This window comes from Homo sapiens, chromosome 10, assembly GCF_000001405.40.
Source record: "Homo sapiens chromosome 10, GRCh38.p14 Primary Assembly".
Lineage (NCBI taxonomy): Eukaryota > Metazoa > Chordata > Mammalia > Primates > Hominidae > Homo > Homo sapiens.
In genome coordinates this window covers 46,628,945-46,653,358 of record NC_000010.11, presented here as the reverse complement: position 1 = coordinate 46,653,358, position 24,414 = coordinate 46,628,945, and the positions used below count along the sequence as shown (strand labels likewise).

The 24,414-nt window shown below is 38.4% G+C and overlaps 1 long non-coding RNA gene and 3 pseudogenes across 2 annotated transcripts in view; 2 read left to right on the top strand and 2 right to left on the bottom strand.

Annotated features, from left to right (window-relative positions):
• The first annotated feature begins 1,382 nt into the window (after positions 1–1,382).
• Positions 1,383–24,414, top strand: part of SHLD2P1 (shieldin complex subunit 2 pseudogene 1) — a 41,505-nt pseudogene continuing 18,473 nt past the window's right edge. Inside the window, exons 1-4 of the transcript NR_027632.1 lie at positions 1,383–2,912; positions 8,076–8,183; positions 21,911–22,104; positions 22,272–22,406. The product of NR_027632.1 is annotated as a shieldin complex subunit 2 pseudogene 1 (transcript). The remainder of the gene's footprint in view (positions 2,913–8,075; positions 8,184–21,910; positions 22,105–22,271; positions 22,407–24,414) is intronic.
• RN7SL248P (RNA, 7SL, cytoplasmic 248, pseudogene) lies at positions 4,083–4,411 on the bottom strand (annotated as a pseudogene).
• LINC02637 (long intergenic non-protein coding RNA 2637) lies at positions 16,558–23,207 on the bottom strand. Its single transcript, NR_187473.1, has 5 exons — positions 23,129–23,207; positions 20,904–20,970; positions 20,237–20,342; positions 18,230–18,550; positions 16,558–17,993 (listed from the first exon to the last, which is right to left on the bottom strand). It is a non-coding gene; the product is annotated as a long intergenic non-protein coding RNA 2637 (long non-coding RNA).
• RHEBP1 (RHEB pseudogene 1) lies at positions 17,513–18,857 on the top strand (annotated as a pseudogene).

Here is a 24,414-nt window from a genome sequence, read left to right as displayed (position 1 = left end):
TGTCCAAGCTGGCCTCAAACTCCTGGTCTCAAGTGATCCTCCCACCTCGGCCTCCCAAAGTGCTGGGATTACCGGTGTGAGCCACCATGGCTGGCCAAAAATGAGTAATTTTTTTTTTTTTGAGATGGAGTCTCTCTTTGTCGCCCAGGCTGGAGTGCAGTGGCGAGGTCTTGGCTCACTGCAACCTCCTCCTCCTGGGTTCAAGCGCTTCTCTTGCCTCAGACTCCCGAGTAACTGAGACTATAGGCACGGGCCATCACAGCCGGCTAATTTTTGTATTTTTAGTAGAGATGGGGTTTTGCCATCTTGGCCTGGCTGGTCTTGAACTCCTGACCTCAAGTGATCCACCCCCTTGGCCTCCCAAAGTGCTGCGATTACAGGCGTGAACCACTGTGCTCTGCCCCAAAATGACTAATTTAAAGGTGACTGTAATATAGTTAAACAAATGCCTCTTTTCCCATTCTTTACTAACTTGTTATTTAAATGGGGCAAGTTTTTACAACATAAGAAACAGGCCAGGCGCGGTGGCTCACGCCTGTAATCCCAGCACTTTGAAAGGCAGAGGCGAGTGGATTTCTTGAGGTCAGGAGTTTGAGACCAGCCTGGCCGACATGGTGAAACCCCGTCTCTACTAAAAGTACAAAAATTAGCCGGGCATGGTGGCACAGACTGTAATCCCAGCTAATCAGGGGGCTGAAGCAGGAGAATTGGTTGAACCTGGGAGGTGGACGTTGCAGTGAGCCTAGATGGCAACACTGCAGTCCAGCCTGGGCAACAGAGCAAGACTCCATCTCAAATGAAACAAACATACTAAAAACCTATTAACTTGTTTGATGTGAGTGTGCTTAGCTTTATTTCCCTTAAAGAGAGTCTTTTTATGAGATGGAGTCTCACTCTGTTGCCCAGGCTAGAGTGCAGTGGTGCAATCTAGGCTCACTGCAACCTCCGCCTCCTGGGTTCAAGCGAGTCTTCTGCCTCAGCCTTCAAGTGGCTGGGACTACAGGCGTGTGCTACCACGTCCAGCTAATTTTTTGTTTTTAGTATAGACGGCGTTTCACGCTGTTAGGCAGGATGGTCTCGATCTCCTGACCTCGTGATCCACCCACCTCGGCCTCCCAAAGAGCTGGGATTACAGGTGTGAGCCACTGCGCCCGGCCTAAAGAGAGTCTTTAGGTGAAAAATTTTTGTGAATATTGTGATTTCTCCTTAATAATTTCTTGTGTATTTATGAATTTTATATAATTAAATGGCATATCAAAAAAATCACCTATGTTAATTATGTTTTTGACTCAGTTATATTTTCTTTTGGTACATTATTAAGTTAATATCCATATGCAAAAATATGCTGACAATATATTAATTTTGGATTTTTCATTTTTATCAGAAATCATGAGTGGAGGATCTCAAGTCCACATTTTTTGGGGTGCTCCAGTTGCTTCACTGAAAATGACAGTATCAGAAGACACAGCTTCTTTAATGTCTGTTGCTGACCCCTGGAAAAAAATTCAGCTTTTATACAGTCAACATTCTTTATATCTGAAGGATGAAAAACAGCACAAAAATCTTGAAAACTATGAAGTCCCAGATTCTATTGGTTCTCCAGATCTTTGTGGTCATTTCTTAGCAAACTGTATGAATAGACATGTTCATGTGAAAGATGACTTTGTACATTCTGTTTCTGAAACACAGAATATAGAATCCCAGAAGATTCACTCCTCTAGACTGAGTGACATAACTAGCTCTAATATGCAAATATGTGGATTTAAAAGCACAGTTCCGCATTTAACCGAAGAAGAAAAGTATCAAAGCTTCTCAGTGAAAATAAAATTAGAGATGAACAGCCTAAACATCAGCCAGATATATGTGGTCAGAACTTTAACACAAATTTGTTTCAGTTGGGCCATAAATGTGCAGCTGTGTTGGATTTGGTTTGTAGTACTGAAAAAATTAATATAGGGCCTGAAGTGGTACAAAGAGAGTGTGTGCCAACAGAATATCATGAAATACAAAACCAGTGTTTGGGATTATTTTCCTCGAACTCAGTAGATAAGTCAAGGTCTGAAGCAGCAGTTAAGAAGGTCTCAGACCTTAAAATATCAACTGATAAAGAATTTCTCAGTATAATTACCTCCAGCCAGGTTGCTTTTTTTAGCTCAAAAGAAAGATAAAAGGCGGAGTCCTGTAAATAAAGGGAATGTAAACATGGAGACTGAACCAAAGGCAAGTTACGGGGAGATAAGAATACCTGAAGAGAATTCGATTCAGCTTGATGGTTTTACAGAAGCATATGAAAGTGGACAAAACCAAGCATATTCCCTTGAACTTTTTAGTCCTGTTTGTCCTAAAACAGAAAATAGCCGCATTCACATAAACTCTGATAAAGGTCTTGAAGAACATACAGGATCTCAAGAACTTTTCAGTTCTGAAGATGAACTGCCACCAAATGAGATACATATTGAGTTGTGTAGCTCAGGAATACTGTGTTCCCAACTAAATACCTTCCACAAAAGTGCTATTAAAAGAAGCTGTACCTCTGAAGATAAAGTGGGCCAGTCTGAAGCTCTATCTGGAGTCCTTCAAGTAGCTAAGAAAATGAAGTTGATTTCTAATGGAGGAGATTCTGCTGTAGAAATGGATCGGAGAAATGTGTCTGAATTTAAGAGTATTAAAAAAACATCATTAATAAAAAACTGTGATTCTAAAAGCCAGAAGTATAATTGTTTAGTCATGGTGCTATCTCCATGCCATGTGAAGGAAATAAACAAAATTCGGACCAAATTCTGGCTCTAAAGTGCCTTTAGCAACAGTTACAGTAAGTGATCAATCAGAAACTAAGAAGAAGGTTTTTCTGTGGAGGACTGCAGCATTTTGGGCATTTACAGTGTTTCTTGGAGATATAATTTTACTCACGGGTGAGGTCATTATGGTATAGTGGTAGCTTATTTTATAAAGCTAAGTTTTGTTTGTTTTTGTTTTTCTCCCACTTAGTCTTTGAAGACTCTTTCTTTAGTCATTTGCCTCTTCTGAGCTCAGCATAATTGATCCCTTTATTGCATCTGCATTGCTCTCCTTTCCATTGTCCACTCTCCTGCCCATTGCCACTTCTGGGCCTCTGTTCTATCCTTCTCAGCTCTGCCCCTTCTTTCCACTTATCCCCTCCTTTAATAAGCCTTCCCTAGTCAGGTGGAGTGGGTCACACTTGTAATCCCAGCACTTTGGGAGGCTGAGGCAGGAAGATTGCTTGAGGCCAGGAATTTGAGACCAGCCTTGGCAACACAGAACCCGTCTCTACAAAAAATAAATTAAGTTTTGCGTGCCTGTAGTCCCAGATACCCAGGAGGCTGACATGAGAGGATTGCTTGAGCCCAGGAGGTTGAGGCTGCAGTGAGCTTTGATTGGGCCACTGCACTCTAGCCCGAGCAACAGAGTTAGACCTTTCTGCTTCTTTACCTAATGTCTAATAATGCTGTGCACATTGTGTTTTTACTGTGGGAACAGTTATTGATTTCTGTTGCCTTATTTTATTATCAAAATTATATTAATTACACTTGGAAATATGGAAAGGAAAAAACTGGTATTATACCAACTTCATATAACCACCAATAGAGTTCGAGAGTGTTGCCTTCCAGTTATTTTCTCTGTTCTCCTTAAAATGTGTGTGCATGTGTGTATATATCACACATAGAAGCTCATATTTATTGGGAGCTTAGTTTGTGAGACCCTGTTTTAGATTTTACATGCATATTTCATTACAACAAGTATATGAGGAAGGTACTGATTTTTATCCCCACTTTTCAGTTGAGGAAGCTGAAGCCCAGAGAAGTAAAGTAACTTGTCCAATGTCATACATCTAGGAAGTGGCAAAGCTATAGTTTCTCCTAGACTCCAGAATTTATACTCTTACTATATAGTTGTAACCATAAAGAACATTTTGTTTTTTTAATTTTTAATTTATTTATTTTTAAGAGACAGAGTCTTGCTATGTTGCCAAGTGCAGTGGGTACTCACGGGCACAATCCCATTACTGATCAGCATGAGAATTTTTGAATTGTTATTTTTAATTTTTTGTTTGTTTGTTTAATAAGGACAGGATCTCACTGCATTACCCAGTCTGATCTCCAACTCCTGGGCTCAATTGATCCTCCTGCCGCAGCCTCCCAAAGTGCTAGGATTACAGGCGTGAGCTACCGTGCCCATGGTATTTTTAACATGCCCTTGTTTCCAACCTGGACCAGTTCACCCCTCCTTAGGGAACCTGTGGTCCTCCACTCCCAGGAGGTCACTATATTGATGGCAAGCTTAGTGCAAACACCTGATCGGCTACAACTCTGAACTCCTGGGCTCAAGTGAGCCTCCTGCCTCAGTCTCCCAAGTAGCCAGGACTACAGGCACGCATGCCGCTGCACCCAGAGAGAATATTTAATTTTTTTTTTTTTTTTTGAGACAGTCTTGCTCTGTCACCCAGGCTGGAGCGCAGTGGCACAATCTTGACTCACTGCAACCTCCGCCTCCTGGGTGCAGGTGATTCTCCTGCCTCAGCCTTTCGAGTAGCTGAGATTACAGGTGCAAGCCACCATGCCTGGCTAATTTTTGTATTTTTATAGAGACGGGGTTTCACCATGTTGGCCGGGCTGGTTTCGAACTCCTGTCCTCAGGTGATCCGCCCACCTCGCCCTCCCAAAATGCTAGGATTACAAGTGTGAGCCACCGTGCCTGGCCAGAATATGTTTTCATCGAACACATCTAACATTGTGTTACGTGTTCTTTGTTGATTTAAAATTGACACATGGTGTATTAGAGCAGGAGGAAGTTGATTAAGCTTAATAAAATATCTAAAGAAAGAATGTGATACAGAGGCGGTATTTAGAAAAAGAAAACTTCGAAGCAATATTGATAGTCCTACCAAATAGTTTACAGGAGGAATGAGAACCTTAGCTAATGTACTTGGTGTTCCTGTAGGATTGTCAAGTACAATCTTTTTTTTTTTTTTTTTGAGACGGAGTCTGGCTCTGGCACCCAGGCTGGAGTGCAGTGGCGCGATGTCTGCTCACTGCAAGCTCCGCCTCCCGGGTTCACGCCGTTTTCCTGCCTCAGCCTCCCGAATAGCTGGGACTACAGGCGCCTGCCACCGCGCGCGGCTAATTTTTTTGTACTTTTAGTAGAGACAGGGTTTCACTGTGTTAGCCAGGATGGTCTCGATATCCTCACCTCGTGATCTGCCCGCCTCGGCCTCCCAAAGTGCTGGGATTACAGGCGTGAGCCACCGCGCCCGGCCGAGTACAATCTTTTATAAAGAAGTAAACACAAAATTGTAATGAACAGGCTTAGCATAGCCACATCCCACTGGCAGTATTAGCTAATATTATTTATATGTGATTATATTATTGGAGGTTCAATTCACCTAACTCCCTCTGTTCTGATTCAGTGCTTGCTGAATACCTCTTTGCTTGTGATTTGGCTTTCTAGTTGTAGAGCTGCCCACAGCATGAGAACAGGCTGAAATACTGTTTTTTTGGGGCAATTATTGTAAATGAAAAAAAAATGTTTTTTTTTCTTTAATTTGTTTCATTAATTGATTTAGTATGAGCTTATGTTGCAGAGCTGAAATCTAGTTTTGGAGTGTTAACAAAATTAAGTTTCCCAGACTGTAAAAGAGGGCTGGATCCTGGACCATGGTCATTTTACCGAGGCAATTAATGTCAGCAGGGACCTCTCAGGGGCCTTTTCCTTTTTCCTAGGTAGGTGTAAACTCAACTCTGCAATCTCTGTATTTTTTCCTAACATCTCTATAGTTGTTAACGACTAGGTAACATTCTCTCTGGTGGCTGTAATGCAATTTACTTAACCATTTTCCTATTATAAGACATTTAGATGATTTCTATGAACATTTTTTTAAAAAATCAGATTTTTTTTGTCTTTTTAAGAAAAAGAGGATCTAGTTCACCGATTTCTGAATAAGTTTCTTTTGTGTGGAACAGATGGAAATGTTGGGAAAAAAAAGAAATCTACACTTTTCTGTTGTCCTAATGAGGCAGTGAACTTAGTTGGATAGCTTGGGTAGTTTATACTACCTATTGATATATACCCCCAAACAGAAATCTTCCTTTTTTTTTTTTTTTTTTTGAGATGGAGTCTTGCTCTGTTGCCCAGGCTGGAGTGCAGTGGCGTGATCTCGGCTCACTGCAACCTCTGCCTCCTGGGTTCAAGTGATTCTCCTGCCTCAGCCTCCCAAGTAGCTGGGACTACAGGAGCCCGCCACCACGCCTGACTAATTTTTGTATTTTTAGTAGAGGCAGGGTTTCACCATATTGGCCGGGCTGGTCTCGAACTCCTGACCTTGTGATCTGCCCACCTCGGCCTCCCAAAGTTCTGGGATTACAGGTGTGAGCCAGCGCGCTCGGCCCATACTGAAAAATTTGAAGTAACAGATGTATTCCAGACCTTGTTGAATACCAACACAGTAGACAGTTTGCTATTATAACTTCTAGCAATAGAATGAAGAGATGCCAAAAATAAGGATTACCTAAGGGAGACTACTGACTAGAATTAGAAGAAGATGGGAGGCTTAACATTGGGAAACCACAGTGTTTAAAGGACAAACAGAATAAGGACTAGGAGCTGGGGCATGTCAGTGAGAGGGTAGGAAGGAGCCAGGAGGCCAGGGTGGGCTACCCATCCCCTCCATGCACCACTAGTGATTACCATGTCACTAATCCAACATAGGCTTCACAGTCCTAGCTTTCAGAATGCTCTCCTTGAAATTTCTTGTCTGTTCCTTTTTTCTGAAGAACATGCATCCTGAATGTTGGATCATGAAAAGTCTTGAATGCTGTACTAGCTCTTCCTGGCTAGGCAGTGGGGAACCACTGTTTTTTAGTAAGTCACCTGAACTCATTAATGCTCTGATATATCACTCGCCTGAACTCATTACTGCTCTGATAAATGACTCATTAGCATTGTAAGAAATGGGTTGCAGGCGGGACAAGCACCTGTTGGGAGGGAAAGGAATGTGTAATGTAAAACAGTAGTAGTGGTGGGGCATGGGCACATTTAAGCAGCAGAGGGGTAGGTGGGAGCTGGTGGCAAGGAGTGGGAAGGGAGAGGCAAGATGACTTCAGATTTTAGTTTACTTGATTAGCAGCATAGCATCAATAAATGAGTTGGGCGCTATGAAAGGAAAAGCAGATTTGGACATTGCTGAGTTTGGGGAGCCAATGGAATATCCAGGTGGGAATTTCCATTAGGCAGTTGTAGATAAAAGGTTCAAAAGCTGAGGAAAGGGTCTGGAATCTAAATCTGTAAGTAATCACTTGGAATTTATACATCCTTGGTTTTCTTTCCTATTATCTCTAAATTATTTCACTATTGTTAATATATGTTTATACCTCTGACACTGTATGCTGATTAGATCCTGCCTTAGAGATAGCTCCCTTCCCCTCTTTCTCTTTACAGCTCACATGTTTTGCTCTACCTACAATTGTTTCTACCTGTTGGTATGTTTAGTTCTACCTGATTCTACTCTATCCGTCTTAGATATACAGCTCTCTCTTTCCAATTGGAAAATGTTCCCTACCTCCAAAGTCTTTCACTTTTAACTTATGTGGAAGATAATTATCGTGCTATTTAGGGAAAAATAATCAAGTGTGTTATATTCAGATATATTTATAGTAGAAGGGACCAGTGCATACTGAATATTATTACTCTCCTAGGCACTACGGCTTTGGAACCACTACTTTGCCTTCTGGTCCTAAAAAAAATTATTTTTGATGTATCAGAAATATACATGATAACATTTTCCTTATGTAAATAAAAACTATTAAACCTTTTTTATATAGAGCAGTGGACTTCCATACTGCTATCATTTGAATATAAAGAAGAAATTTTGTTAATTTACCTAGATTTAGATTTTAGATTTGCTGTTTTGTCATTTCGTGCCCTTAGGCAGGTTATTTAACCTATTTGATCTCTAGTTGCTTGGTATATGGGAGGCATGCATAATATTTTGCTGTGACTAGTAGGTTAACCACATTGTGAAGGAATTTATGGCATGATCAGAATGTTTTTTCTCTCTCTAGATGTTGTTATTCATGAGGACCAATGGATTGGTGAGACAGTACTACAATCAACATTTAGCAGTCAGTTATTAAATCTTGGGAGTTATTCATCTATTCAGCCTGAAGAATGTAAGGCACATTTTAAATGAAGTAATGTATTAGTGTTTAAAGTATAAAAACATACTAGGAAAGATTAGGGTTAAAATGGTTCTTTTACAAAATGTTTTCTAAACAGTTGGAGAGTATTGGTTTCTTTTCATTAGTAAGAATGAAAATAGAATTTTAAGAAATGAACTTGTACATTGTAAATCACATTTATTTTAAGAAGTATTGGGTCTCATGTTTCGTTTTCTTAGGCTGTCAGTATAGTGGTGGTTCTTCACCTTTTAGGGAGTCAGAGACCTCTTTGAGAATCTATAGACCATTTCTCCAGAAAACTGGACTTATGTAGATAGGCACAAAATTTTGCTTATAATTCTAAAGCATTCCGTGGACCTCTGAAGTTCTTCTGTGGAACTTCTGAGCCTCTGATTAAGAATCCTTGAGGTAATAAAAATGTATTGGTCTCGTATTCAGACAGCTGTGGTTTGAATCCTTATTCTCCTGTCTACCACTGCTAAGAAAAGCTATTTTTCTTCTTTAATGTCCAGTTTTCTCTTCTTTAAAAGAAGCTGTTTAATGAGGAAACTAGCAGCTATCTCCTCCTCTAGGAAATAAAATAACATAAAAAAAAAGAAAGAAAACAAAGTAAGGGAAACAGTATAAACTTGTGGTTTTGGTCACTGGACTCAGATAGACCAGGATTTGAATCCTGGCCCTCTTACTTCCAGTCTTTGTCTTTAGGCAAGTTATTTCACTTCACTATACCTTTATCTCCTTTTCTTTGAAATGGAGATAAAAATACATATATACCTTATAGGGTTGTTATGAAGATTAAGTGAGAAAATGAATATAAGATGTTGAACCTGCACATAATGTAGTAGTAACATAGTAATATTAGAGGGAGAAATAATAAGCTAGCAAAATATATTTGATAAAATGCTGAAATATCATACAAGAAAATAGCTAGAGAAATATACTGATTATACAAGAAGATAACTGGAATAATAGGAAAGTTATAGGATGTATATGGAAGATAGAGCATGGAATTCCAATCTTTGAATTCTTAAAGAAAGGCAGAGCAAGTAGAAGGGAAGAGCAACAATTAGAATAACAAGAACTGTGTTTGGGATGGGCAAGGTTTCATTATATACTAGGGTGGCCCATCAGCAGAAAACCAACTCTGACATATTTCATAGACAACTCAAATAGAGTTCTTCATCTATCCAATATATATTTATTATGTGTTGACATTGTTTCAGGCACTGTGTTTACTGTACACTGGGGGTACAATGGTGCCTGTCCTCCTGGAGCTTATGTTCTCATGTGGAAGACAGACCAAAAAAAATGAATGAAACAGACATATAAGTAAAATATTTGCAGGTGATAATGAGTGCTATGAAGGAAACTAACAAAGGGTTAAGATACAGAATGCCATGGTTCTAGTTGAGAAGGATTGATCATGGAGTAGAATCAGGGTTAGGAAGTTGTTACAATAGCTGCAGTTGAGAGATAATGGGAGGCCAGTGGAGCTAAAGAGCCGAGATATATTTGTAAATAGAGTTAATAGGATTTTCTGATGATGTGGGTCTGGGGATCAGGTAAGAGGGACAATCTACTGCTACTGGATTACTGGTTTAAGTAACTAGGTAGCCTTTATTGGGAAAGACTGAGAGGGAACTGGTTTGTGGGGAAAAGGGCTATGTTTCAAGGCATGTTAAGTTTTAGATATCTTTGAGATATTCAAGTGGAGATGTCATATAAGAACTGGAAACAAAGTTCAGGACTCAGAAGACAGGTTTAAAATTAAGAGGCAAATTTTAGAGTTATTAGCATACAGATAATATTTCAAATTTAAAAGTTTTTAAAATAAATATTATCTGTATAATTATAGAATCACAGGGGATTGCAAAAATAATACATAAAGTCCCATGAACTCTTCTTCTAGCTTCTCCCAATGGTGATATCTTATATAACTTTAGTACAATATCAACAACAGGAAATCAACATTTGTATAATACTGTTAACTAGTAATATACTAGGATACTTTCCCTTTCAGTATCAATAAATATAGTATCAGCCTGGCACAGTGGCTTATGCCTGTAATCCCAGCACTCTGGGTGGCTGAGGCAGGAGGATTACTTGGGCCCAGGAGCTCGACACCAGCCTGGATGATATGGTGAAACCTCATCTCTACTACAAATATGGAAAAATTAGCCAGGTGTAGTGGTGCACACCTGTAGTTACAGCTACTGGGGAGGCTTAAGTGGGAAAGAAAGTTGAGGCTGCAGTGAGCCATGATAGTACCACAGCACTTCTGCCTGGGTGACCAGAGTCAGACCTTGTCTCAAAAAAAATTTTTTTCTTAAATAAATAAATATAGCATCAATACAGCATTATAATATGATTAATACTATATCAATAAAATAGATACTTAGTCCTAATGCCAATGTCTTATTTAATAGAAAAGCACTCGAGGCATTGTCATTAAAACCAGGAAAAAGATAAGGATGTCCACTATCTCTGCAACTATTCATCTTATACTAGAATTATCAGCTAATGCACTTAGACAAGAAGAGGCATCTGGTCTGGTGCGGTGGCTCACGCCTGTAATCCCAGCACTTTGAGAGGCCAAAGTGGGCGGATCACTTGAGGCCAGGAGTTTGGGACCAGCCTGGCCAACATAGCAAAACCCTGTCTGTACTAAAAAGATGAAAAATTAGCCAGGTGTGGTGGTGCATGCCTGTGGTCCCAGCTACTCAGGAGGCTGAGGCATGAGAATTGCCTGAACCTAGGAGGTGGAGGTTGCAGTGAGCACCTGTACACTGCACTGCAGCCTGAGGGACAGAGCGAGATTCTGTCTCTCCAAAAAAAAAAAAAAAAAAAAAAAAAAGAAAGAAGAGGCATTTGAACATTTGAATGGATAAAGAAGAATGAAAATTATCTCTATTTACAAATGCTCTGATAACATACCTGAAAACTCCAGGGAATCAAAGTTAAAACAAATTTAAACAATAAGATAATTCAATGATATAACAGGATGCAAAATTAATGTTAAAAAATATCATTAGGCTGAGTGCAGTGGTTTGCGTCTGTAATTCTAGCCCTTTGGGAGATGAAAGTGGGTGGACAGCTTGAGCCCAGGAATTCAAGACCAGCCTGGGCTACAAAAAAGAAAAAGGAAAGGAAAAAGAAAAAGAAAAAAATGCTGGGTGTGGTGGCACACACCTGTGGTCCCAGCTGTTTGGGAGGCTGAGGTAAAAGGATTGCTTGAGCCCAGGCTGGGGGATGAGGTTGCAGTGAGCTGTGATTGCACCACTGTACTCCAGCCTGGGCAACAGAGCAAGGCCCTGTCTCAAAAAAAAAATAATAATAATAGTAATTAGACAATATACACAAATAATAAACAGAGGGCATAATGATAGTGAAAAACTCATTTACTATAGTAATAAAGAAGATAGTTCAAAATACAGTTAACAAGAAATATGCAAAGCCTATATGAGGAAAAAATTTAAACACTCCAGAAAGAAATGAAGACATGAATAAATGGAAAGACATTCCCTGTTCTTGGATAGGATGACTCAACATTATAATGATGTCAGTTCTTCCTAAGTTAATATGTAAATTCAATGTAGTTCCAATGAAAATATATATGTTGTGGCATATAAAAGTTGATACTAAAGCTCATATGGGAAAACAGACATGCAAGAATAGCTAGGAAAAGACTGACAAAGGAAAACTACAGAGGAGGGGAACTAGCTTTACCAGATGTTAAAACATACTATAAAGCCTCTGTAATTAAAACAGTGAAGTACTGATGCATGAATAGACAAGTAGACCAGTGGAACAGAGTAAGAAGATTAGAATTAGACCCACCTACATATAGCAATTTAATATATGACAAAGATAGTATCTGGAATCAGTGAGATAAAAGCTAACTTCTTAATAAATGGTGCTGAGACAACTGGGTAGCCATTTGGAAAAAAGGGAAAATTGGACACATATCTCACAACAAACAGTAATAAACACCATATGGATTAATAGTCTAAATGTAAAAAATAAAATCATGCAACAACAAGAAGGAAACCTGAATGAATCCTCTGTAATCTTGGTGTAGGGAAAGGCTTTTTCTTAATATTACTCAGAATCCAGGGGCAGTAGAAGATAAACTGATACATTTTACTACAGAAAAATAAATTTTGCATAACCAAAACACTATAAACAAAGTCAAAAGACAACTGACAAACTTGGAGAAAATATTTGTAACATACAACAAAAGGCTAATATCCCTAATATATAAAGAACTTTTAAACCTTGAGTGACAAAGTCTGGGTGTGGTTGTTCACACTGGTAATCATAGCATTTTGGAAAGCTGAGGTGGGAGAATCACTTGAGCTCAGGAGTTTGAGTCCAGCCTGGGCAACATAGTGAGACCCTGTCTCTACAAAAAGTCAAAAAATTAGCCAGGTGTGGTGGTGCATGCCTATGGTCCCAGCTACGTAGGAGGCTGAGGCAGGAGGATTGTTTGAGCCCAGGAGGTCGAGGCTGCAGTGAGCTGTATTCATGCCACTGCACTCTAGCCTGGCAAAAGGGAAAATGTGAAAAAGAGATGAACAGTCAATTTTCAAAAAAAGATATAAAAATGGCTATCAAATATAACTTATTAGAGAAATTCAAATTAAAACTACATGGAGATACCATTTCTCACCTATCAGATTGGCAAAATTAAAAAAAAAAATCACATTCTGTTGGCGCAACTGTGAGGTAATGTGCCCTCTTATACATTGGTGGTAGGAATGCAAATTGCTACAACCCTTTTGAAGGGATATTTGGCAATATCTAACAAAATTACATATGTACTTAGCTTTCAACCTAGCAATCCCACTTCTAGGAATCTACCCTGAAGCTACACCTCCAACAATATGAAAATACATATCAGAAGGTTATTCATTGCAGTATTGTTTATAATTGCAAAATATATAGGAGAATGATTCACTAAGTTATGGTGCATTCACATAGTGGAACACTATGTACTATGCAGCTGTACAAAAAGAATGAAAAAGATCTCTACAAACTGATATGGAGTGATTCCCAGGACATACTGTTATGTGAAAACATAAACCCCCCAAAACTATATGTAGTATGCTGTCCCTCCTGTAAGAAGGAATGGAGGAATAAGAAAATACCTCTGTTTATTTGTGGAAAGAAAATGCAGGAAGGATAAACCAGAAACTAAAGAGATTGGTCACCTACAGGGGGCACGTAGGAGAGGGGTGGAAGAAAGTGGGGAATGGGAACAGGATAGCAGGGGTCAGGAGGAAGTGACACTAACAAATGAATGTATTATTGTTACAAATGAACCTAATATTGTTACAAATGAATAAAATAACTACATAGAAGGGGGTGGGGAAGAAAAGAACAAACCTAAGTAGCTGTGGAAAAGAGTATATTGACTGGATTCTATAAGGCTAATGACAGAAAGGACTGTACATAAATGCTGCAATCTAGTTAGAAATATGTTTCTCAAAGGCGAATGGCTTAGCAATAACCTTATGTACATACTAGAATGAACAAATGAGTACATAGATTGCAGATAAGGAAAGCTGGATTTCTCACTGTTGGAGAAAGAAATTATAAACAAGGGAAGGTTAAAACGAACCAGAGGTATCGTTATAAACTGAGGATTTTTAATATAGATAAATGGATACAGAAATATAGGCATGTGTATATGGGTGGGATAGTACACATACATAAACATCTCCTAGTTCTGTCCATTGAGCGAGCACAGCACAGATGCAGTTACTCCTCAGTAATAATGAGCATACCTGGTGCCCAGATCTTCATCTGTAAACATTTTCTTTTCTTTTCTTTTCTTTTTTTTTTTTTTTTTTTGAGATGGACTCTTGTTCTGTCACCCAGGCTGGAGTGCAGTGGCGTGATCTTGGCTCACTGCAACCTCTGCCTCCTGGGTTCGAGCAATTCTCCTGCTTCAGCCTCCCAAGTAGCTGGGACTACAGGTACGTGCCACCACGCCCAGATAATTTTTGTATTTTTAGTAGAGATGGGGTTTCACCATGTTGGCCAGGCTGGTCTTGAACTCCTGACCTCAAATGATCTGCCCACTTTGGCCTCCCAAAGTGCTGAGATTGCACGTGTGAGCCACCGTGCCCGGCCTCTCGTTTTTTTTGAGACAGGGTCTGGCTCTGTTGCCCAGGCTAGAGTACAGTGGTGCGATCTCGGCTTACTCCAACTTCCGCCTCCTGGGCTCAAGCCAGCCTCCCACTTCAGCCTTCCAAGTAGCCGGTACCATAGGTGTGCACTACCACGCCTGGCTAATTTTTGTATTTCTTGTAGAGACTGGATTTCACCATGTTGCTCTGGCTGGTCTCGGACTCCTGGGCTTCAGCAGTCCACCCATCTTGGCCTCCCAAAATGCTGGGATTACAGGTGTGAGCCATTGTGCCTGGCCAACATAGTTCTCTAATGAAAGGAACCAGCTCTGCTAAAAGTGGTTGATTACAGGACTGGGTCAGGGCAAATTCAGGATAAGCCTGGAAGTCTAGTGGTGCCAGACAAGACATGTTGAAATAATGCAAGAGCCAACCTGAAGGAACACCTACTGGCTAAAGCTGAAGCAATTTGAGTAAGAAAATAATGATAGTATTGGATTAGAACCCATAGATTAAAATCTTTACAAATCCTTATTGATATAAAGATATATTTATTTCATTAACTAACCAGAGGGGAAGAGAAAGCTCTTCCTTCCAATGGAATTCCAATTAATAAATCTGAGAGAAAAGAAAAAAAAATAGAGAATTACTGGCCATGCTCAGTGGTTCATGCCTATAATCCCAGCACTTTGGGAGGCTGAGGCAGGTGGATGGCTTGAGCCCAGGAGTTCGAGACCAGCCTGGGCAACATGGCAAAACCCCATCTCTACAAAAAATAGAAAAATTAACCAGGTTTGGAGGTGTGCCCCTATGGTCCCAGCTATTCGGGAGGCTGAGGTGGGAGGATTGATTGATCCCAGGAGGTTGAGGCTGCAGTGAGCCGTGATCATGCCACTGCACTTCAGCCTGGGCAACAGAGTGAGACTCTGTCTCAAGAAAAAAAAAAAATACAAAACACAAAAATAGAGAATTACCATCAGGCAGAGATCACAATCATAAATACTGCACGGACACAAATGCACTGATAGATGCTAAAATTAGTAGGTGAAAGTCTGAGGAGAGAGAGCATTGCATAGTCTCAAAGTATCTCCCCAGGATACCAGCTTACTAGAGGGAAAATAATAAATTTATAAGAAAACTCTTCAGACACCAAGTTAACTGAGTGATTGGGGTAAATATCACCAGTAATAAGATGTATGGTATCATAAATTCTTTGATATTATCCATTGAGAAGGATCCACCATATTTTTTGTGGAATTGCCAAAAATGCATAACTTCATTCCAATCATAAAACACTGGAGAAACCCAAAGGGAAGGACGTTCTACTAAATAATTGATCAGGATTCTTCATAAGTGTCAAGGTAATGAAAAAGAAAAGACTGAGAAACTCTTATAGACTAGAGGAGACCAAAGAGAAATAACAACTAAATGTGAGGTGGGATCTTGGATGAAATCCTACATAGAAAAAGCATATTAATAGGAGAATTGGTAAAATTTAAATAACATCTACATTTTAATTAACAATATTTAATTAACGTTAGTTTCCTGTTTAAGATAACTTATAATATGTGAGATGCCCACATTAGTTGACATAGTGAGGAATATAAGGGAACTCTGTACTATTTTTGCAACTTTTTTGTAAGTCTTACATTAGTTCAAAACAGAGTTTTTAAAAGAGCTGTATACGATCATCTCAATAGGTACAAAGAAAGCTTTTGATAAAATTCAACACCTGTTCATTAGGAATAGAATAAAATTTTCCTTAACTTCATAAAGAGTGTCTTTAGAAAACCCAGAACAATTATCATCCTAATTGGAAAAATATTAGAAGCATTCCTTTTAAAATTCAGGAATATGACTAGGATACTACTATTACTACTTTTCTTCAACACCATATTAGAGTTATTAACCAGTGCAATAAACATGGAAAAATAGATATGTAAAGATTGGAAAGGTAGAAATAAAACTGCCATTATTATAGATGGTTTACATACCTTTTCCCTCTGAAAACTACAAACAAATTATTAGAAATAATGTGAAAATTTAGCAAAGTAGCTGGATATAAGATTAACATACAAAAGTCAATCACATTTCTAGAGTAGAGCGACTAACAATAACAAAGGAAGCTGCCATTGACAACAATATTATTTTGTACTAATAGTAATAAATGTAGCAAAGTATGTGCAAGACCTAAAAAAGGAAAAATTTTTAAATGAAGAAAAACTAACAAAGAATGAAATAAACATATACTTTATTCATTAATTGGAAGATTTAACATTGTGAAGATTTCAGTTCTTTTCAAGTTGATTTGTAAATTCAGCGCATGTTCAATAAAAATCCTCGTAAGATTTCAAGGGCGCAGTGGCTCATGCCTGTAATGCCAGCACTTTGGGAGGCCAAGGTAGGAGGATCTCTTGAGGCAATGAGTTAAAGACCAATAAGATTTTCATGTAATTTGATAAGATTGTATGATATTTATGTAGAAGAGTAAGTGGTTGAAAACAGCAGGGCATTTTAAGAAGAAAAGCAGGGAAGAATAATTTACCCTATCAGCTATCAAGACTTAGTATGAACCTATAGTAACTGAGATGGTGTGGTTTTGCCCAGTTGAAGTCAGTTAAATTTTAATTTTGAGATTTCTGTAAAAGATACAAGTTTAGTCTTTTATTATGTATATTTGAAGGTGTTACATTTTGGAAAGTGTGTGTGTATGAATGATAGCTAAATGGCTTCTAAGTAAAATTCAGCATATCTTGTAGATGTTGATAGAATAGAAGGGGAAGGAATGTTTTGAAATAATGAAAATAACATGGTATGCAAATGCTTTGCAAGAGATTTGGGAAATGTAGATATCTCTGGTTTTAAGGATGATCTAGATTCAAGTAATAGTTCAGTAATTTCATAAAACTCTTATGACAAAATTCTGGATGGAGAATATTCTATGAATCCCCTAGAGAGTTTCAGGTTTTTGTAGAATGATGTGAAAAATCTTGAACTAATTAGATAATCTTTAGAAGTTACTTCACAATCTTTGTTTTTACACATACACAGGAATTTATGGTGCTTTATTTTTTACAGGTTAGTAGCTAAATAAAGTATATTCTAAAGTTTTTTTATTGATGTAGGGAAATGGCTACCAGTGGACATTTTGAGAATATTGCAGTTGTTTTTCTTCTGAAAGAGTAAACCGGGTCATGACGCAGCGAGTTTCAGTCGTGACTTTTCTGGGGGCATCGCGGCGTCCCCTTTTTTTGCCTTTAAAGTAAAACGTCGCCCCGACGCACCCCCCGCGTATTTCGGGGGGCGGAGGCGGCGGGCCACGGCGCGAAGAGGGGCGGTGCTGACGCCGGCCGGTCACGTGGGCGTGTTGTGGGGGGGAGGGGCGCCGCCGCGCGGTCGGTTCCGGGCGGTTGGGAGCGCACGAGCTAGCGAGCGAGAGGCAGCCGCGCCCGCCGCCGCCCCTGCTCTGTATGCCGCTCTCTCCCGGCGCGGCCGCCGCCGATCACAGCAGCAGGAGCCGCCGCCGCCGCGGTTGATGTGGTTGGGCCGGGGCTGAGGAGGCCGCCAAGATGCCGCAGTCAAAGTCCCGGAAGATCGCGATCCTGGGCTACCGGTCTGTGGGGAAATCCTCATTGACGATTCAATTTGTTGAAGGCCAATTTGTGGACTCCTACGATCCAACCATAGAAAACACTTTTACAAAGTTGATCACAGTAAATGGACAAGAATATCATCTTTAACTTGTAGACACAGCCGGGCAAGATGAATATTCTATCTTTCCTCAGACATACTCCATAGATATTAATGGCTATATTCTTGTGTATTCTGTTACATCAATCAAAAGTTTTGAAGTGATTAAAGTTATCCATGGCAAATTGTTGGATATGGTGGGGAAAGTACAAATACCTATTATGTTGGTTGGAAATAAGAAAGACCTGCATATGGAAAGGGTGATCAGTTATGAAGAAGGGAAAGCTTTGGCAGAATCTTGGAATGCAGCTTTTTTGGAATCTTCTGCTAAAGAAAATCAGACTGCTGTTGATGTTTTTCGAAGGATGATTTTGGAGGCAGAAAAAATGGACGGGGCAGCTTCACAAGGCAAGTCTTCATGCTCGGTGATGTGATTCTGCTGCAAAGCCCGAGGACACTGGGAATATATTCTAGCTGAAGAAGCAAACTGCCCGTTCTCCTTGGAGATAAACTATGCTTCTTTTTTCTTCTGTTAACCTGAAAGATATCATTTGGGTCAGAGCTCCCCTCCCTTCAGATTATGTTAACTCTGAGTCTGTCCAAATGAGTTCACTTCCATTTTCAAATTTTAAGCAATCATATTTTCAATTTATATATTGTATTTCTTAATATTATGACCAAGAATTTTATTGGCATTAATTTTTCAGTGTAGTTTGTTGTTTAAAATAATGTAATCATCAAAATGATGCATATTGTTACACTACTATTAACTAGGCTTCAATATATCAGTGTTTATTTCATTGTGTTAAATGTATACTTGCAAATAAAATAGCTGCAAACCTCAAAAAAACAAAAAAACAAAACAAAAAAAAAGAGTAAACCAATTTGGTTACTCATTTTACCAATTTGGTTTTGATTTTGCAAGTGGTTACAACTCATGAGAGGATTCTTATTTCTGATCAATATATTGTGTTTTTGGAAAGGACTTCTGGGAAATAATTATGATGAAGCCCTCGAGCAATTGCAACAAAACCAAAAATTGAAAAGTGGGACCTAATAATACTTTTTTAAAATTTATTTTTTAGAGACAGGATCTCACTGTTACCCAGGCTGGAGTGCAGTGGTCTGATCATAGCTCACTGCAGCCTCAATCTCCCAGGCTCAAGAGATTCTTCTACCTCAGCCTCCTGAATAGCTGGGACTACAGGTGCATGCCCCCATGCCCAGCTAATTTTTGTATTTTTTGTAGAGACCAGGTTGTGTCATGTTGCCCAAGCTGGCCTTGAATTCCTGAGCTCAAGCGATCCTCTTGTCTTAGCCTCCCAAAGTGCTGGAATTACATGTGTGAGCCACCACTCCCAGCCCCAGAACAACTATTATTAAAAAGTCAAAAAACGACAGATGTTGGTAGGCTGTGTAGAAAAGGAAATGCTTGTACACTGTTGGTGGGAATGTAAATTAGTTCAGCCGCTGTTGAAAACAGTTTGGGGTTTTCTCAAAGAAGTTAAAACTGAACTATGATTTGACCCAGCAATTCCATTACTAGGTATATATCCAAAAGAAAACAAATTGTTCTACCAAAAAGACATAAGCACTTGAATATTCATTGTAGCACTATTCACAGTAGCAAAGTCATGCAATCAACCTAGGTGGCCATCAGTGGAGGATTGAATAAAGAAAATGTGGTACATATACACCATGGAATTCTACGCAGCCATAAAAAGGAATGAAATCAGGATGGTGCGGTGGCTCATGCCTGTAATTCCCACACTTTGACAGGCTGAGGCAGGCAGATTGCTTGAGTCCAGGAGTTTGAGACCAGCCTGGGCAAGGTGGCAAAACCCTGTCTCTACAAAAAATACAAAAAAATTAGCTAGGTGTGGTGGTGCACACCTGTGGCCCCAGCTATTTGGGAGGCTGAAGTGGGAGGATCACCTGAGCCCAGGAGGTGGAGTTTACAGTGAGCTGAGATTGTGCCACTGCATTCCAGCCTGGGCAACAGAGTGACACCTTGTCTCAAAAAAATAAATAAATAAATAAATAAATTGCAGCAACACAGATGCAGTTGGAAGCAATTATCCTAAGTGAATTGAGGGAGGAACAGGAAACCAAATAACGTGTATTCTCACTTATAAGTGGGAGCTAAACACTGGCTACTCATGGACATAGAGGTGGCAACAATACACACTGGGGACTACTAGAGGGAGAGGGTTGAAAAACTACCTGTTGGGTACTGTGCTCAGTACCTGGGTGACAGGATCACTTGTACCCCAAAGTTCAGTATCACGCAGTATTCCCAGGTAACAGACCTGCACATGTACACCCGAATCTAAAGTAAAAGTTGAAAAGAAAAGACTTCTGTACTTTCATCTTTATAGTGAGGTGTTACATGTTTTACAAACCTAGTTCTGATAATGTGACAGGAATATAAATTTATCTTGAATATTATTAAATATATAAGTCAAAGATCAACACAGTGTTTCCATGAGGTAGACTTTTTTTGGAATCTAAATAACCATGTGTTTCCACGTAAATTTTTATGAATCAGGGACAAATATATAATTTGATGTCAGAGATGTTTTTGTTCCCCAAAAGCTCTATCTTGTTCATGAAAAACGAAGCCCAGAGAAGTTATGTACAAGTTCACAGAGCTCATTATTGACAAAACCAGAATTTGAATACAACTCTTCTGATTCCAGATTTGCTGGAAATACTGTGAAAGAAGAATTCAGTCTGGTAGTATTACGTGTGGTTTTAATTTTTTCTTTGTAACTTTAGTTTGAATTTTATGTGTGTGTGAGCATCTGCATTTACTTTTAAAAACTTTTATTGTAAAAGCCTTCAAACATATACAAAAGTAGAGAATACAAAGCATAATGAACTTAAGTACCTATTAGCCAGCTTATTAAAACATGGTCAGTCTTGTTTCACCTGTTACATCCCTTTTCTTTTACTGTCTAAAGGAAGGAAAGAAGAATCACAAATCAGTTTATGAAGTCTGCTTTCTAAAAAGTACTTAAGTGTTTATTGCCAATATCTTATTTTGGTCGGCAATCAATCACATACTCAAGCATACTTCTCTTACCTTCAGAGAAATTAAAATTTAATCAGCAAAACTCATCAGCCTGTACATTTAAAATATATGCATGTTATTGTACAGAAACTATACCTTAATAAAAAGTGAGAAAAAAAATGAGACAGGAAAGAGAAAAACATTTAAAAGACATAGTAACTGAAGAATTAAATAACCAATCCAACACTTGAAAAATATTACAATGTAGCACATGCTTAAAAGCTCTCTGAGCTCAGGGAAAAAAGCAGCACTGTGAATCTATAGTGGTCATCATTCTATGTGGTATTGGGTAGGACAAGAAGACAGCCTTGCAGCTGGAAATTGGTGAGGACGGAGGCCTCGTGTGGAAAGAGTAAGGCACACTCAGGGAGAGAACCAGTGAGGTGGCTCTGAGCCTGTTTCAGAAGGGGCTTGAGGAAGAACGGCAGAGGCTAGGATAGTTGGGAAAGCAGGATCAAATCAGACTCCAGGGATTGGGGAACCAATTGGCTGTTACAGGGTGGTGGAGTCAAAAAAGAACAGAAATTTTGTGTTTGGTTAATTGATAGAAAATGATATTATTAACAAAGTAAAGAAGTATGGGAACAGCACAAGTTTTTTGGGGATAGTAAATAATTCCATTTCCATTGATTAAAAATATCAAGTTTATTTTTACATCTAAACTGATTCAAGACTTAGCTATTGTACATGTTTTAGAGAAAACAAAACTATATTTTATATCTAATCATACTTTACAACATAAAATACAGTTCTAAAAAATATTATTTGTCAAGAAAAATATAATGTTGCCATCTTTTGTCTGTATGCATGTTTTTTTTCCTTAGATTCCAGCGTAGTTAGTGACGTTGTACTTCAAGACTTACTGGCATATGTGTCCTCAAAACATTCCTACCTCAGAGATCTTCCTCCGAGACAGCCTCAGAGGGTGAACAGTATAGACTTTGTAGAATTGGAGCACCTTCAACCTGATGTGTTAGTCCACGCAGTACTAAGAGTTGTTGATTTCCTATACTGACAGGTAAACATTTTGACTGCCTCCTTAATTTTAGATTATGAAAAAATTAAGATACAAGACCATCTTAGTGTACCATTTGGTTATCACTATATATGTATCATCAGCTATTAAAGTATGGTATCATGTGTGATAGAGTAATGCCAACTAAGATACTCATTTTCCTTTTCCAGAGGCAGTATACAGTTATAGAGGACAGAAGCAGAAAAAAGTTATGTTAACAGTGGAACAGGCCCAAGATCAACATTATGCGCTTGTATTATGGGGTCCTGGAGCAGCCTGGTACCCTCAACTTCAAAGGAAAAAAGGTAAATACACCAAAAAGCATTTAACCTATTTATATTTCGGTAAATGATTAATGTTTATGAGCCCAAGATGGAGAAAATCTTAAGAGACGAGACAGCATTTGAAATACAAGTGATCATGATTGAATATTCTTCTGCAAATTTCTTCTGTTAAAATTTTGTACCTCTTGTAGCAATTCATTTATCTAATAAGTCTTCATTAATTAATGGTGGTGAAATAAAGGCTTAAATTTATTCCCAGATATACTACTTTACCTTTTTAGTGAAGATCTTACCTCCTTCAAATAATGTTCTTTAAACATTTAATTCTGGAGAAGCTTCTACAATTTTTTTTCAGCCAGAGTACTCTGATAAATAAATGCTATGATTATAAGGCAGATGTCAAGGGAGTTACCTTAACTCTTTCAAGTCACAATTAATGTTCAATAAATTACAGTTTCATATTTTTATTATAGTTGTTTTAAAAGCATGCACTGTTAGCCATCCCTAGAATGTTCAGTGTTAAAATATGACCCATGATTACATTTTTCTTTAAAGCATAAATTATTTCTGGTATATTGAATTAAATGGAATTGATGTTTCATTAAAATAGTATAGTGTCTTCCCTTTGCTATTGTGAGATCCTTTAGTTGTAACAATCAAAGACAGTTTCATTTGTGGCTTATGAGTTATTTTTCCCTGCTAAATTAATTTAGAGATTGATTCAGTATATTATTATTTTTTACCTGAAAGAGTTAATGTCTCTCCAAACTTCTGCCTTCCAAATAGTTATTTGTAGATAGGATCTATCACATTGTCTCTCTTAATCATTAATAGCTATGACTAGGATTTGAGATAAGTCTAACTTTGGACTTTTATGTTAAGATCAAACAGGGACAGATGTTTGTTTGGTTGAGCAAGCTGACAAACATGTATCAGTGATAGACTAACTATGATCATTGACCACCATAGCCTGGCTGAGAACATGAGTCTAGTGCATGCTACACAAGAATGTAGGTCACAGGTATAGTGGAGCTGTAACAGAGCAGATTGCTCCATGTTTAATGTGAATATTCTTTTAAAATTAATAGTTTTTTGGTTAATAGAAGAGAAATTACAGTTGTCTCTAGGTGACTCTATGGTGTTTAGGTTAGTATTGAAAACGTATGAATCCAGGAATTAAGATGTTGTTGTTCTTTGTACATTCATTCATCCAGCCCCCCTTATTTGTAACCATCATTTTAAAGTTTTAACATCTACTTCAATACCTCACATCAGTCTTTTTAAGATAAAAATACCAATTTTGAAGGATTACTTAAGTAATTCTATTTTCCTGATTTTACTTTTCTTTTCAAGAGACCAACCCCATTTCCAAATTCCCAGCAAAGAGAATCTGATTGCCCAGAGTAAATTTGATTCAAAAAACTGTGATCAGGAAGACAGGGTCACGCAATACAAATATGAGAGCTTGAGCTTATTTCAGTGGATGGGAAAACAGTTAAGGGAATCATTTGTGATCTGGGTGAATACATAAAGATATTCACTACCAAAAATGTGTATGTTCATTAGCTTAGAAAGATATATGTAATGTATTATTTAGTTTAAAAAGTAGATTATAGGCCAGGTGTGGTGGCTCACTCCTGTTAACCCAGTACCTTGGGAGGCTGAGGTGGGTGGATTGCTTGAGCCCAGGAGTCCAAGTTCTCATCTTAAAAAAAAATAAAAAATAAAAAAAATTGGATTGTAAAACTTCATGTATAGAAAATATATTATGTTATCATATAATAAATATTTTTATGTTTATATAAGTTAATACACAAAAATTTTCAAGAAAACCCTTTATATATGATAGTATCTCATTTTAATAAAAATGTATCTATAAGTACATATGTGCATTTGAAAACCTGGAAATATGCATGTATAGCAAAATGCTAGCCGTAGTTATTTCTGTATAGTAGTATTATATGTGCTTTAATTTTTTTCTTTATACCTTTAGTTTGAATTTCATATGTGTGTGAGCATCTGCATTTAC